The sequence below is a fragment of the Homo sapiens genome, chromosome X (genome assembly GCF_000001405.40).
Source record: "Homo sapiens chromosome X, GRCh38.p14 Primary Assembly".
NCBI lineage: Eukaryota > Metazoa > Chordata > Mammalia > Primates > Hominidae > Homo > Homo sapiens.
The window spans coordinates 152,840,037-152,853,771 of NC_000023.11; the positions used below are offsets into that span (position 1 = coordinate 152,840,037).

General features: G+C 46.8%; 1 protein-coding gene across 4 annotated transcripts in view, besides 1 other annotated feature; it reads left to right on the forward strand.

Annotated features, from left to right (window-relative positions):
• NSDHL (NAD(P) dependent 3-beta-hydroxysteroid dehydrogenase NSDHL) overlaps window positions 1-13,735 on the forward strand; it is a 38,667-nt gene that overhangs the window by 8,974 nt on the left and 15,958 nt on the right. For all 4 annotated transcript variants that reach the window (NM_001441099.1, NM_001129765.2, NM_015922.3 and 1 more), the window contains 2 exons: window positions 6,246-6,396; window positions 10,229-10,387. In NM_001441099.1, the coding sequence (NP_001428028.1) occupies window positions 6,289-6,396; window positions 10,229-10,387 (267 nt within the window). In that variant the 5' untranslated portion in view covers window positions 6,246-6,288. The remainder of the gene's footprint in view (window positions 1-6,245; window positions 6,397-10,228; window positions 10,388-13,735) is intronic.
• Window positions 1,767-1,940: a silencer, noted in NCBI's record as "fragment chrX:152010347-152010520 (GRCh37/hg19 assembly coordinates)". NCBI's record gives its function as "represses an EF-1alpha promoter that drives an FKBP-Casp9 reporter gene in an ReSE screen in HepG2 liver carcinoma cells and phorbol 12-myristate 13-acetate-treated (for megakaryocytic differentiation) K562 erythroleukemia cells {active_cell/tissue: HepG2 | K562(+PMA)}" and the evidence as "EXISTENCE:reporter gene assay evidence [ECO:0000049][PMID:32094911]".

A 13,735-nucleotide genomic window follows, 5' to 3' on the forward strand; every position in this document is an offset into this window, starting at 1 on the left:
TATTTCATTAATTTGATCTTCAATCACTGATATCCTTTCTTCCAATTGATTGATTTGGCTATTGAAGCTTGTGCGTATGTCATGAAGTTCTCGTGCCATGGTTTTTCAGCTCCGTCAGGGCATTTAAGGTCTTCTCTACACTGTTTATTCTAGTTAGTCATTCATCTAACCTTTTTTCAAGGTTTTTAGCTTCCTTGCGATGGGTTAGAACATGTTCCTTTAGCTCAGAGAAGTTTTTTATTACCAACCTTCTGAAGCCTACTTCTGTCAACTTGTCAAAGTCATTCTCCATCCAGCTTTGTTCTGTTGCTGGCGAGGAGCTGTGATCCTTTGGAGGAGAAGAGGCACGCTGGTTTTTAGAATTTTCAGGCTTTCTGCTCTGGTTTCTCCCCATCTTTGTGGTTTTATCTACCTTTGGTCTTTGATGTTGGTAACCTACAGATGGGGTTTTGGTGTGATGTCCTTTCTGTTGATGTTGATGCTATTCCTTTCTGTTTGTTAGTTTTCCTTCTAACAGTCAGGTCACTCAGCTGCAGGTCTGTTGGAATTTGCTGGAGCTCCACTCCAAACCCTGTTTCCCTGGGTATCACCAATGGAGGCTGCAGAACAGCAAATATTGCTGCCTGATCCTTCCTCTGGGAGCTTCGTGCCAGAGGGTCACCCGCCTGTATAAGGTGTCTGTCGGCCCCTACTGGGAGGTGTCTCCAGTTAGGCTACATGAGGGTCAGGGACCCACTTGAGGAGCAGTCTGTCCTTTCTCAGAGCTCAAACGCCATGCTGGGAGAACTACTGCTCTCTTAAGAGCTGTCAGACAAGGACGTTTAAGTCTGCCAAAGTTTCTGCTGCCTTTTGTTCAGCTATGCCATGCCCACAGAGGTGGAGTCTATAGAGGCAGTAGGCCTTGCTGAGCTGTGGTGGGCTCTGCCCAGTTCGAGCTTCTCAGCCACTTTGTTTACCTATTCAAGCCTCAGCAATGGCGGACGCCCCTCCCCCTCCAGGCTGCAGCCTCACAGGTGGATCTCAGACTGCTGCACTAGCAGTGAGCAAGGCTCCATGGCCATGGGACCCTCCGAGCCAGGCACAGGAGAGAATCTCCTGGTCTGCCAGTTGCTAAGACCGTGGGAAAAGTGTAGTATTTGAGCGGGAGTGTCCCGTTTTTCCAGGTACAGTCTGTCACGGCTTCCCTTGGCTAGGAAAGGGAAATCCCCCAACCCCTTGCACTTCCTGGGTAAGGCAACGCCGTGCCCTGCTTTGGCTCACCCTCCATGGGCTGCACCCACTGTCCAACCAGTCCCAACGAGGTGAACCAGGTACCTCCATTGGAAATGCAGAAATCACCCATCTTCTGTGTCGATCACGCTGGGAGCTGCAGACCGGAGCTGTTCCTATTCGGCCCTCTTGGAATGAACTGAGTTCACATCTCTTTAGAGGTTTCAGTTTAGCCTTATTTTGCTGTGGCAGCTCAGCTCAACTTTGTCCTTCCATGGGCCTGTGGTGTGGGGCAAGGTGGTTGGATTTCACCAGTACAACATATCTCTGTTTTCCTATATTATTTTTAGCTTAAGATTTTGTCCCAGTGTACATCGTGGGTGCACATATTGGTTTTTAATGGATTCAAATAACTAACATTTTAAAGGAAGAGACTTGAGGCTTCTGATGTGTGAACCATAACAATCCACCAGCCCCTAAAACATTGCTCTTTGGAGTCTTGTTTTCAGTAGTTCAGAGCTATTCTTCTGTATGTCTGTGTGGTAAAGTAGACATAACAGAAAATGTACCATCTTCACCATATTTAGGTGGACAGTTGAGTGGCATTACATGCATTCCCATTGTTGAGTGACCATCACCCCATCCGCCTTCAGAACTCTTTTCCTCCTGCAGCACTGAGAGTCTGTTCCCATCAGCAGTCACTCCCCACTCACAGAGCATTTGTCCTTTTGTGTCTAGCTTATTTCACTGACCATAATGTTCTCGAGGTTCACGCATGTTGTTGCATGTCTCAGAACTTCATTCCTTTTTATGGCTGAAGAATATGCCCGTGTGTGGCTAGACCATATTTTGTTTATCTGTTCATCTGTCAGTGGACACATTGCTGCTCCTACCTTTTGGCTGTAGTGATTAATGCTGCTGTGAACATGGATGTACAAATTTTTCTTCAAGTCCCTGCTTTTAGTTTTTGGGGGTATATGCCCAGACATGAAATTGCTGGATCCTATTGTAATTCTCTGTTTAATTTTTTTGAGGAGCTGCCATACTATTTTCCACAACGTCGCACCATTTTACATGCCCATGAACAATATATGAGGGTTCCAGGTTCTCCACATCCTCACTGACACTTGCTATTTTCTCTTTTCTGGCTTTTGATAATAGCCATCCTAATAATGGGTGTAAGGTGACACCTCACTGTGGTTTTGATTTGCATTGCCCTGTTGATTAGTGACGTTGAGCATCGTTTTTTATTTTTTGTTTTTTGTTTTTTTGAGACAGAGTCTTGTTCTGTCGCCCAGGCTGGAGTGCAATGGCGGCACCATCTTGGCTCACTGCAACCTCTGCCTCCCGGGTTCAAGTGATTCTCCTGCCTCAGCCTCCCGAGTAGTTGGGATTACACGCATGTGCCACCACGCCCAGCTAATTTTTGTATTTTTAGTAGAGACGGGGTTTCACCATGTTGGCCAGTCTGGTCTTGAACTCCTGACTTCAAGTGTTTCACCTGCCTCGGCCTCCCAAAGTACTGAGATTACATGCGTGATCCACCACGCCCAGCCTGTTGAACATCTTTTCATGTGCTTTTTAGCCATCTTTAAAGTAGATCTTCTTTGGAGAAATGTCTATTCAGTCAGAGCTATTCTCAATGTACATTTTAACCCAAGCGTATATCACATGGTGAATTTAGGTGAGTAGGCAGGGGACGGGGGTTGCCTATGGGATCTGACTCATTTGCGCGGCTAGCTCTGGGTACTCCAACCCATAGAGACAGCTAAGCTGTCACCAAAATTCTTATCTGACTCATAGTATTTACAAACTTTAAAATAATTGGTATATAATTTGAGACAAAGGAGATTTTGTTTTGACAAGAGGCTGGTTTGCAAAGAATTGTGTGATTATTGTTTCAGCAGTACAGCTCCGTTGGGGTGAGACATGTTTCTTCTTTGACCTCCTACATCCTCCTCTAGCAAACGAGGAGAGGAATAGGCTCTAAGGCTTCTTGCTTTTGCTAGTCATACAAGGGGACTTGTGGAATTGGCAGCTCTGCTATTTGGATTTCGGCACTACAAAGGATACTCGTATAGTTTGCTGGGTCTGCTGTAACAGATGACCACAAACTGGGTGACTTAGAAAAGCAGAAATGTGTCTCTCACAGTTCTGGAGGCCACAAGTCCAAAATCAAGGTGTTGACAAGGTTGTGTTCCCTCTGAAGGATCCAGGGGAGACTCGTTCTTCATTGTTTCCACCTTCTAGTGGCTCCAGGTGTTCCTTTGCTTGTAGCCACATCACTCTAACCTCTGCCTCCATCTTCACATGGCCTCCTCCTCTTCTCCCTGCCTTTCCCCTCTGTATGTCTCTTATAAGACCACTTGTCATTGGATTTAGGGCCTACCAGGCCTCCAAGGACCTCTATTGGCCCATTCTTTTCCTACTTTTCATGCAAAACTTAAGGCTACGGGAGCAGTTAAAGTTACTTTTTGGTTCAAGAAGAACTGAATGAAGCATTTGGTGTTAGTCATTATGCTATTCATTGAATGAGGCCAAAGAGGAAATGATTCTTTCCACCCAAGTTTGCTTGCGAGTCCCAGTCTTTCTTTACACTCCTGCCCCATGCTGTCGCTGTACACCTACTTTACAAAGCATGTCCTTGGTTGTTTATTTGTTAGCCAGCATCTAGTTGTTGCGACAACCCCAGGAGTTAGCCTTTAGGCAGGACCTGGGAGCCGTTTCCAGGACAGATAGGACAGCCCCTGCCTGCCCAAGCTTATACCGCATGGCAGCAGATTAGATAGGGGAGAACTAAAGTGGTGGAGAGAGTCCAAAGGCAGCCCAAGAGGAGGCATAGGCAGGGAGACTCCTGCACAGGAAGCTGTGTTACAATGATAATAAAATTAGCTGCCTTGAATGGCGTGTTGACAGGTATTTGACACAATCCTCATAATGACCTTATGAGGCCATTTACTTTACATATGAGGAAAGGCAAGCTCAGTTCTTTTAAATAACTCCCCCGAGGGCTACCTGCTGGTAAGGAATAGTAGCTGGGATTTGAACCCAGGCAGCCGACTCTGGGTTAATTTATTGCCAGCTGCACTGAGGAGTGGCGTGATTTGTGATTTCTCATGTGTAGAGGGTGAGCAGAGGCTTACAAGAGCAGAACTCCACAGGGGTGGGCTTGCTTAGCCCGGCTGGCCTAGTTAGCCTGTCATGCGGTCCTGTCACTGCCCCAGGCACACGCCCCTCAGATCCCCTGCCAGCAGAGGTCAATAAGGCCTTGGTGGGGTCAGAGGCCAGATGTGAGCCATCTCCTTGCCCCTGTAGATGCCATGTGCCTTTTCATTTGCTCACATTTCCCTGAATATCTGGGGAATCTGGATAAGAAGCCAGCAGTGGGCATTCGTGATTATATCATCACTAAATAACAGTCACTTGCCCCACTGAAGCCCCTGCACCTTAGATGGGATATGCATGTATGCGATGGAGAGCAGTATGGGAGCTCTGGTGGGTGTGCCCACACATGGTAGTCTCATGACCCCCGGCCGATATGTGAGTGCCCACTTTGTGCTGGGCACTATGCTTCATGCCCAAGTTGCAACAGTGGGCAAGGCTTTGGTGCAAGGTGCCAAAATCCTTGTTCTCTAGCTGCTTTGGTCTAGATACACATTGAGTCCCAGTGAGTTCAATATCAGCCACATGTCTTTCGAATGAACAGTTGACAGGGCCCCTACCAATGTGAAGGGGATTCTGGGATAAAGGGAGGGACAGGGCAGGCACAGAGCTACAGATTGACTTCAATGCATTCTAAAAATGGCCATGACAAGTCAAGTTTTGACATACAGTTTCTTAATAACTTCCATTATGAGTTCAGAAAAATGTTCCCCCAAATGGCTCCTCCAGACATTGAGGGTCCTGCATCCATTTCAAGGCCATTTTGGCTTTCTACATGCCCGTAAAGTCTGTCCCCACTGGGACACATGATCATGCCCATTCGTTAAAAGTGGCAAGGAGTGTAAAATTCGAGGTGTGGGGTTGGATTGGAGCAATCACAGCAGGTGGAATCCCAGTGCTGCCTGCCACCTCCTCACTGAAGTGTTCTGTGAATCTAGCCTTTCATGAGCAAAGTTAGACTCTTGTCTTGTCGTGGGTTTTGCCATCTCCAGATGTTAGGGGAGCCATGACTAAGTAAATTGGCAACTACCAAGAAAACATGGATGCAAGACCAAATACATCATAGTCAAGTGGCATCTTTGTGTTTGCAGTTCAGTATCATGGGTGACTGAGGAGAGGAGCACCCTAAGGGCTGTCACTAAAGCCATACTCCTCTGTTTGGCAACGTTGTCGGATTTTATTGCTACCGTCTCCCTGCTGTGAACTGCTGGGTGCCCACTGTACTCTGATCACTTCTCAAGGGTTTCTGATGGCCCAAGATGCTAAGTTCCTCCACGCATCGTCAGGGCGGCTTTAACTTAGCCAAGCAGGAGAGCTCCGTCTCCTATTGCACTCCACTCATCCCCCGTCCCAGCATCCCATGTCCTGAGCTCCTAGACATGAGCCCTTGTGCCCATTTCATTGATGGGAAAACTGAGCTGCAGCAAAGGGAAGTGACTGGAGCAATTCCGTACAGTTCGTGATAGGCCCAGAGCAGGACTCCCTAGGTGTGGGCACTGCTACACCCTAATGAGCACCACAGGGGAAATCCACGCTGACTGAAGCGTGGGAGAGCCATGGAAAAAGCTACAATGCCAAAGACGTTTTTTATGTTGTCACTGATAAGTGAGCTGATTTAACTGGCCTCCTGTGCGCCTCTAATCTAACAGTGTGGTGAGTCATAGGCCCAGTCGTTGGCCCCGTTAGCCGGGCATGGTGGCAGACACCTGTAATCCCAGCTACTCAGGAGCCTAGTGTCTTGTCGAACAGCTGTCGCTATGGTTCAGCTATTTGTAAAAACATGAACGGGGGGATGGCATCTGCCCAAAACACTAACAACTAAAGATGTTTTGACTTAGGCAACATTAATGTCTGTCTCTAACTATGTCTTTAAGAAAAGAAAAGTTGATTACAAACGGGACCATATTTTGCTTCGAAATGGAACCAGCAGTTAGCGAGCCAATGAGAGACCAAGTCGCACGGACTCATTTGACAGAGGACACTCCCAAAGTGAATGCTGACATAGAAAAGGTTAACCAGAATCAGGTAAGGAGAAAGTTGACACGTACATACCAACAGGCTGATACTATTTACCTGTGGGTGAAAAATTGTATTTGTACATGTATTAATCAATGTTGGGTATTTTTTATGTAAGATATATAGCTTTGTTTAAGATGTGTCAGTTACTTATTGCTGTGTAACAATATCAGAACACAGTGGTTTAAAAGAACAACCATTTCTTTGCTTATGACTGTGGTTTCGGCTGAGCCCAGCTGGGGTGTTCTTGGATGGTCTCCCCTGGGCTCTTGCATGTAGTTGCAATCACATGGGGACCCCTTGAAGCATATGCTCCCAGGTGGCCTTGCTCACACCTCTGGTAGTAACTGGTGGCTGTCAACTGGGCACCTTGGTTTGCCTTCATGTGGCCTCCAGTAGACCAGGCTGGGCTTCCTAGTGAAATGGCAGCAGTATTTATTAGGCCTAAGATTTAGTGTCGCAAGTCTCAGTCTGAGAGAGGACTTGAAGAAATTGTTGAGCCTGGTCGTTGTCAGGCTTCCTGGAGATTCTTCACATCAGTCTGCAAAGGTTTGCTTTGATTGATTCTTAATCAGTGCTGCACTTCAAAAATGTGGCTGGGCACGGTGTCTCACACCTGTGAAATCCCAGCACTTTGGGAGGCCGAGACAGGTGGATCACCAGAAGTCAGGAGTTTGAGACCAGCCAGGCCAACATGGTGAAACCCCATCTCTACTGAAAATACAAAAAATTAGCCAGGCATGGTGGCAGACACCTGTAATCCCAGCTACTCAGGAGGCTGAGGCAGGAGAATCACTTGAACCCAGGAGGTGGAGGTTGCAGTGAGCTGAGATCACACCATTGCACTCCAGCCTGGGCGACAGAGCGAGACTCTGTCTCAAAACAAACAAACAAAACAAAACAAAACAAACAACGTAATTACATCAAGACAAAATGTGTTTATATCAAATGTTAATAGGTTCAAGATCCCTAAGAGGTTATCATGGGCCGTGAAATCACCCTGTATTTGGTGTAGAACTCAGAGTCAAGCCTCCTCTGGGCCTCTGTGGTTGAAGCCACGTGCCATCTGCAGTTCCTCATTTATGTAAATTTGGGTTTTATGGCTACTTGGCAGCCAGCAAACAAAGGTGGATTCCAATGGTTATAGCAAACTGCCATTTTCAGCTAGTTTCAAATTTTTGTGTCCTTCGAAATAACATTTTTTTCTCTCATTAGTGGACTGATTTTATAAGAAGTAAAAGTTCTAAATTTAGACTACTAAAACAAAAAGAACACATTTGTCTTAACTTACTATACGTTCTGCATAAGACCTCTCTGAGAAAAGGGTCCCACTGCTGACAACAAAGCAAAACAAGAAGGGTTGGAAAAACCCAGCGCCCTAGACTATTCTGTTATCTCAAGATTCTATTGCAATTAGATTAGTTTGCCTAAATGGTTTTTTTTCTTTTTTTTTTTTTGAGATGGAGTCTGGCTCTGTCGCCCAGGCTGGAGTGCAGTGGCGTGATTTCAGGTCACTGCAACCTCTGCCTCCCGGATTCAAGCAATTCTCCCTCCTCAGCCTCCTGAGTAGCTGGGACTACAGGCGCCTACCACCACACCTGGCTAATTTTTTGTATTTTTAGTAGAGACGGGATTTCACCATGTTGGCCAGGCTGGTCTCGAACCCCTGACCTCAGGTGATCTACCCACCTTGGCCTCCCAAAATGCTGGGATTACAGGCATGAGCCACCGTGCCTGGCCCCTATTCTTAACACTGTCTCCAAGAGGTTGATCTTATAACTCACCTCAGTAACCCATTATGGAGTCTTGCTGTTTCCAGTCTTGAGTTTTATACTTGATTGTTAGTACATGTTCATTCTTGTCCACTGTGGCTGTGAGAAGTAAAAAGTGGTCATGAAAAGTTTCATGTGATCTCCTGTAATCACACAGCATTATAGGTATGATTATCACACATTTGACTTCCCTGGGGTAAAGGCCAGTTTGATTCCCATCACTACAAGGGTCTCCAGGGAACAGCCATTGGCCTACTCATCCCAAACATTATTGATAGAACATTTCAATATCATAAAATAATCCACGTCACATTGTCCAAGAGTAGCGTACTGATTAGTCACAATTAAAATCGTGAAATGAAATCACACTGGACTAACAGCAAGGTTGTTTTTTGAAGAGATTAGCAACCTTTTGAAACACCTGTAACTAGAGATGCCAAATGAAATAAACAAGGCAGTCTGAAATCTTTCAGGATGCTTTAGTAACATATCTAGTTCTGACTGTCTTTGGGCTTAGCCAGACTTTTAGTAAACTGCAGAAATCCAGGTTGGGAAACAGGCAGCTCAGAGTTATTCTAAATAGCTACAGTTTGCCTGTACAGCTGACTTGGGAGGAGGGGAGAAGAAAGGGATTGCTAGAAAAGGGATTGATGTGAGTTTTGTATTTAATTTGGCTATGACTTGAGGAAATATACATCTCAGTCCAGGTGCAAATCATGTAACCTGGTATGATTACATGTGTTTAGGAATAATCAGAATAAAGCCTAGAAAAGAACAGGTTGGGAAGTTAGTTTTGGGTGGTAGAAGAATGGTGAGGCTGATTTTGTTAGTAGATTGCACATGGACAGATGAAGGTAAAGTACAGTGCCAGCTCCAGCTGGGCCTGGTGGAATCCAGTATGAGTGCTGTTTCAGATGGGACACCCCAACTGGGAGGGAGGTGGATCTAGAGAGGATGTCTGGCCCTGGCATCCCTTGAGTCTCTTGCATAGCTCAATTGTGTTGATGTTTAAGGAATAAGTAGGGAGATTTGTTTGTTTTTTAAATCTAGAACATAATTTCTTTAAGATCTTTCATTTCCACAAACCCAAGTTGGATTTACTGTATATGAGCTAAGGAAATTGGAGGTTGTCATCTTAAGGAGGCCCAGATACAGTTTTAGAAAGACCCTAGGGAGGAGGGATATCACAGGTCCTCCTCACAGACACCCATAGCCAGCTTGTCTGGTGTGCAGCAGCCACAGTTTGGCATCAACATCCTGAAATGAGGGTATTTAAGTGCCTGCATGTGCTACTGTGTCCTTTCATTATGCCCAGTCACCAGAGTTGGAATTACCCAAGGAATCGTGTGTGTTGTGGAGGCTGAGACATAAACACCATGGCTCTCCCCATTTCTTCAACTTCCTTGTAGTTCGGAGGAGGGAAAGCAGAGCCCTGGGCTCATCCATCCTCACTGCAGCCCCACCAGGAGATCCCATCAAGGCGGTCTTAGATTTCTAGGCTGAGGCAAGAAGGGGTTGGGCGATGAGCCCAGAGCCACACAGCCCAGCCCTGTTGTGGCCAGAGAGGGAAAGGGACTGACTTTGTCCTGCAAGTATGGAGACTGCTTTCTTCTTTCTGTTGTTTTCAGTGCAAGCTATCAGCTACCAAATGGCTGCCGTTTTGTTTTGTTTTGTTTTGTCCTTAGAGAAGCGCCCAGGGATCAGCTATCGGGAACAAGAAGGTATCACTGTTTTTTGGGGTATTTTTTAGATTGTCCAGTTTTGGTCATAGGTGGTTTGATTTCCTTTCACTGAATACAAAGCATGGATCTTGTCATCAAACCCAACCAAAGTCAATCTCAGTGTCATTCGCTATCTCTCTTCCCTCCTTACTGATCCCAGGAGAGAAGGTTAGGGTTGCACTAGTGATGGAACACCAGGATGATATAAAGCTTCCAACTTGGCTCAAGAAGAGTTCCAAACAAACAAGTATATCTGCCATTGCAGTGGCTCATGATATGTAAGTCTGGACTCTGTAGCTTCCAGTCCTCACTACCCTGGTCTTCCCCACCGTTCCTCTCTTTCCACAGGCCAAGAGATGCACAGTGATCGGTGGCTCTGGATTCCTGGGGCAGCACATGGTGGAGCAGTTGCTGGCAAGAGGATATGCTGTCAATGTATTTGATATCCAGCAAGGGTTTGATAATCCCCAGGTGCGGTTCTTTCTGGGTGACCTCTGCAGCCGACAGGTAATGGACCATGCAGCCTTGCTGATTTCCCACGAGCCCACGAAGGGAAACCACGATACTTCCCTTGCTCAGAAGCCAGCCAATTTGTTTGAAAAACAATTGTTTCATTGTGAAAATTTTCAAAGTTATAGGAAAGAACACCACATTCTTACTGCTTAGAATGAATAACCATCATCTCTGTCACAGATACTCAGCTGTGTCCTGGTAGCACAAAAGCAGCCATGGTCAGCACTTAAATGAACAAATGGCTGTGGCTGTATGCCAGTGAAACTTGACTTCAAAAGCCGTCCATGGGCTGTATTGTTCCAACTGCAAAACAAGTGTGTGCTGGGCCACAGGGTCTTGATTTTTTAATTGAGATATAATTCATGTACCACAAATTTCACATTTTTAAAGTGTGCAATTCAGTGATTTTCAGTACATCCACAAAGCTGTGCAACTGTCTCCCATGATCTAACTCCAGAATATTTGTATTACCCCAAAATGAAATCTTGTAGCCATCCCCTCTCTTCCCCTCCCAGCCCCTGGCCGCCACTCATCTACTTCCCATCTATGGATTGGCCTCTTCTGGACATTTCATATAAATGGAATCATGTAATATTTGTACCTCTGTGCCTGACTTTTTTCACTTAGCATGATGTTTTCAAGCTTCATCCATGTTGTACAGGTATGAATATCTTGAATTTTATTAGATGGTGCCAAATGGCTCAGCAAAGCTGCTATGTCAATTTTACCTCCATATCCACAATGTGGCACAAGCCCCATTGCTTCACATCTTTGCCAACACTGGGCATAACTAGACTTTTTGGTGTTGCCATTCTGAGAAGTATGAAGTGGTGCTTCACTGATGTTCAGAGTCACATGTCCTCCCTGACCAAGTAACCAGCCACTCTGCCACTGGGTGATCGGCTTTCAGGCTTCCTCCTGTGTGAAATGTTTGTCTGTGTCCTTTGCCCCTTTGTCTTTGGGGTTACCTTTGCTTCCTTGTTGATCTAGTTGGGATGCCAATCCTGTGCCCGTTGTACTTATTATGGATGGCTTCCCTCAGCCTGTCACTGGGCCCTTATTCTTGGCTTTGGTGTCATTCGCTATATGGTTTGTTGATGAAATATTAAGGCCATTGCTTCCGCTGCAAAGTTACGGTTGTTTTCTCTCCCGTGCTGCCCACACCTCCAGGCCTGGAGATGGGGTAGACATCTTTCATGCTCATCATTGCTGCCTCCGAACCGTTCTCCCTCATGCTGCTCTAAGCCTCTCCAGCTTTGAAGAGGATACCCTCAGACTGTACAAACCCCGACACCGTTCCCTCCTTGTGGTGGCCACCCACAGCCGCCTGCTCCCCTTCCCAGTGACTCCACATCATTTCTCAGTGATTTCAGCTCCTTTCTGGCATTATTATTGGTGAATTCAGCGTTCATGTAGATGACCCTACCAATGCCCTCGCCTCTCTCATCCTTGGCCTCCTCTCACCCAATGATGTTGCCCTCCACTCCCCTGTCATCACCAGTAAGCACGTCCTCTCCTTCTTCTCAGTTGCAGGCATTCTACTCTGAGCACTAGCTCCTCTCTGTCCAGCTCATGCCCTCTAGTGCCTCAGCTGTCCCGATTCCTTAACCCCACCCAGACATCCAGCCATGCCCACCATGGCTCAGCCTGTTCGTGCCTCACTGCCTTTAGTTCCCTGGTCTGCTTGTTCGCTTGCATAGTCTTCACCCCTTCCCCTTTCTCTTCTGGTTGTATGTATCCATAAAGTTTCTCCAGAGAAACACCAGCAGGGGGATGTGTGGAGAAGGGCAAGGAGAGAGATGGGTGGGTGAGACGGAGAAAGAGAGGTTGAGATTTAATTCACAGAATTGGTTTACATGATTGTGGGGGCTGACTAGGCAAGTCTGAAATTTGTAGGGCAGACCAGAAACTCAGGCAGGAATTGATGCTGTGGTCCCACGTTAGAATTTCTTCTTACAGAAACCTCAGTTTCACTTTTAAGGTCTTTGAACTGAGTATATACTGCCTGTCCAGAGTAGCAAGGGTAATCTCCTTACTTAAAGTCAGCTGGTTGTAGATGTCAACCACAGCTACAAAATACCTCTACAGCAACACCTACACTGTTTAATGGAGTCACCGGGGACTAGAGCCTGGCCCAGGTGGCAAATAAATGTGGCCACCACAGTGTACTTCACATTGTAACCCCCACCCTGGTTAAATCTTGCCTTGTGCATGGCCATGGCCCTCAAGCAGACCCTTGGTACCACCAAGCACCATCTCCACAAACCTGCCCACATCCACGTCTCTACTCAGCCTCCCCTGCTGTTCCCGAGGACGCCTCATCCCCACCAAAGTGCCCATCCTGGTGCCAGCTGGAAGCCACCTCCTCTTCCCTACCCAGTCACTGCCACCAGGGACCTTGAGGCAACCATATCTGGTGGTTGAATCTCAGTCCTCCTCTGACTTGGCCCTGTAGCAGCATCTGATGCTTTCTTTGCTTGCCTTCTGAGATACCACCTCACTCATTTCTCCTCCTGCCTCACTGATTGTCTCCTGATCACTATCATTTCTAAACTTTGCAGACTCCAGAACTTATTCTCTTTTCTTCTCCAAGTTTAGACAGTGTCACAGTGACTCCATCCCATCTCATGGATTAATTACTGTCTAGAAGCTGATGTGCTCCCTGCTTGTTATCTCCAACCCCTAGCTCTCTCAGGCACGTGTGTGTGTGTGTGTGTGTGTGTGAGCGTATGTGTGTGTATGCCTGCTGGACATCCCTGTTTGGATACCTCATGGACACTTCAAGCTTGCTACATCCAAAATTAAGCTCCTGGTTCCCTGACGCAAGCCCCTCCCCCACCACAGCAAACCTATTTCTGCTAAGTCTTCTCTATCTCCATAAATGGCCTACTCTGCTTTTCCAGTTCCATCAACCAAAAACCTTAGATTCATCCCTGCCCGATTCCTTTCTCTCTCATGCCCTTCATCCCATCCATCAGGAAATCTTGTTGGCTCCACTCAGAATAGATCCCCAATCCAACAACTTCTCACCCCTTCCATTGCTGCCACCCTGGTCCAAGCCACCATCACTGTCTCACCTAGATGTTAGAGGGACTCTTAATGGATAAATCAGATCACACCGCCCTCTGTACAGAAGCCTCCAGTGGCGTCCAGTCCCATGTCAAGCAAACAGAGGCCTCTGTAATCACCCATGAGGCCCTGCACGGCACGTCCCCACTACCTGTCTGGCCCACTTCCTCCCACACCCGCCTCATGGCTCTGCCCCAGGCACACTGGCCACCAACCAAGTTTCTGCCTCAGGACCTTTGCACTTGGTGTCCTTTCTGTCAGGAATGCTCTTCC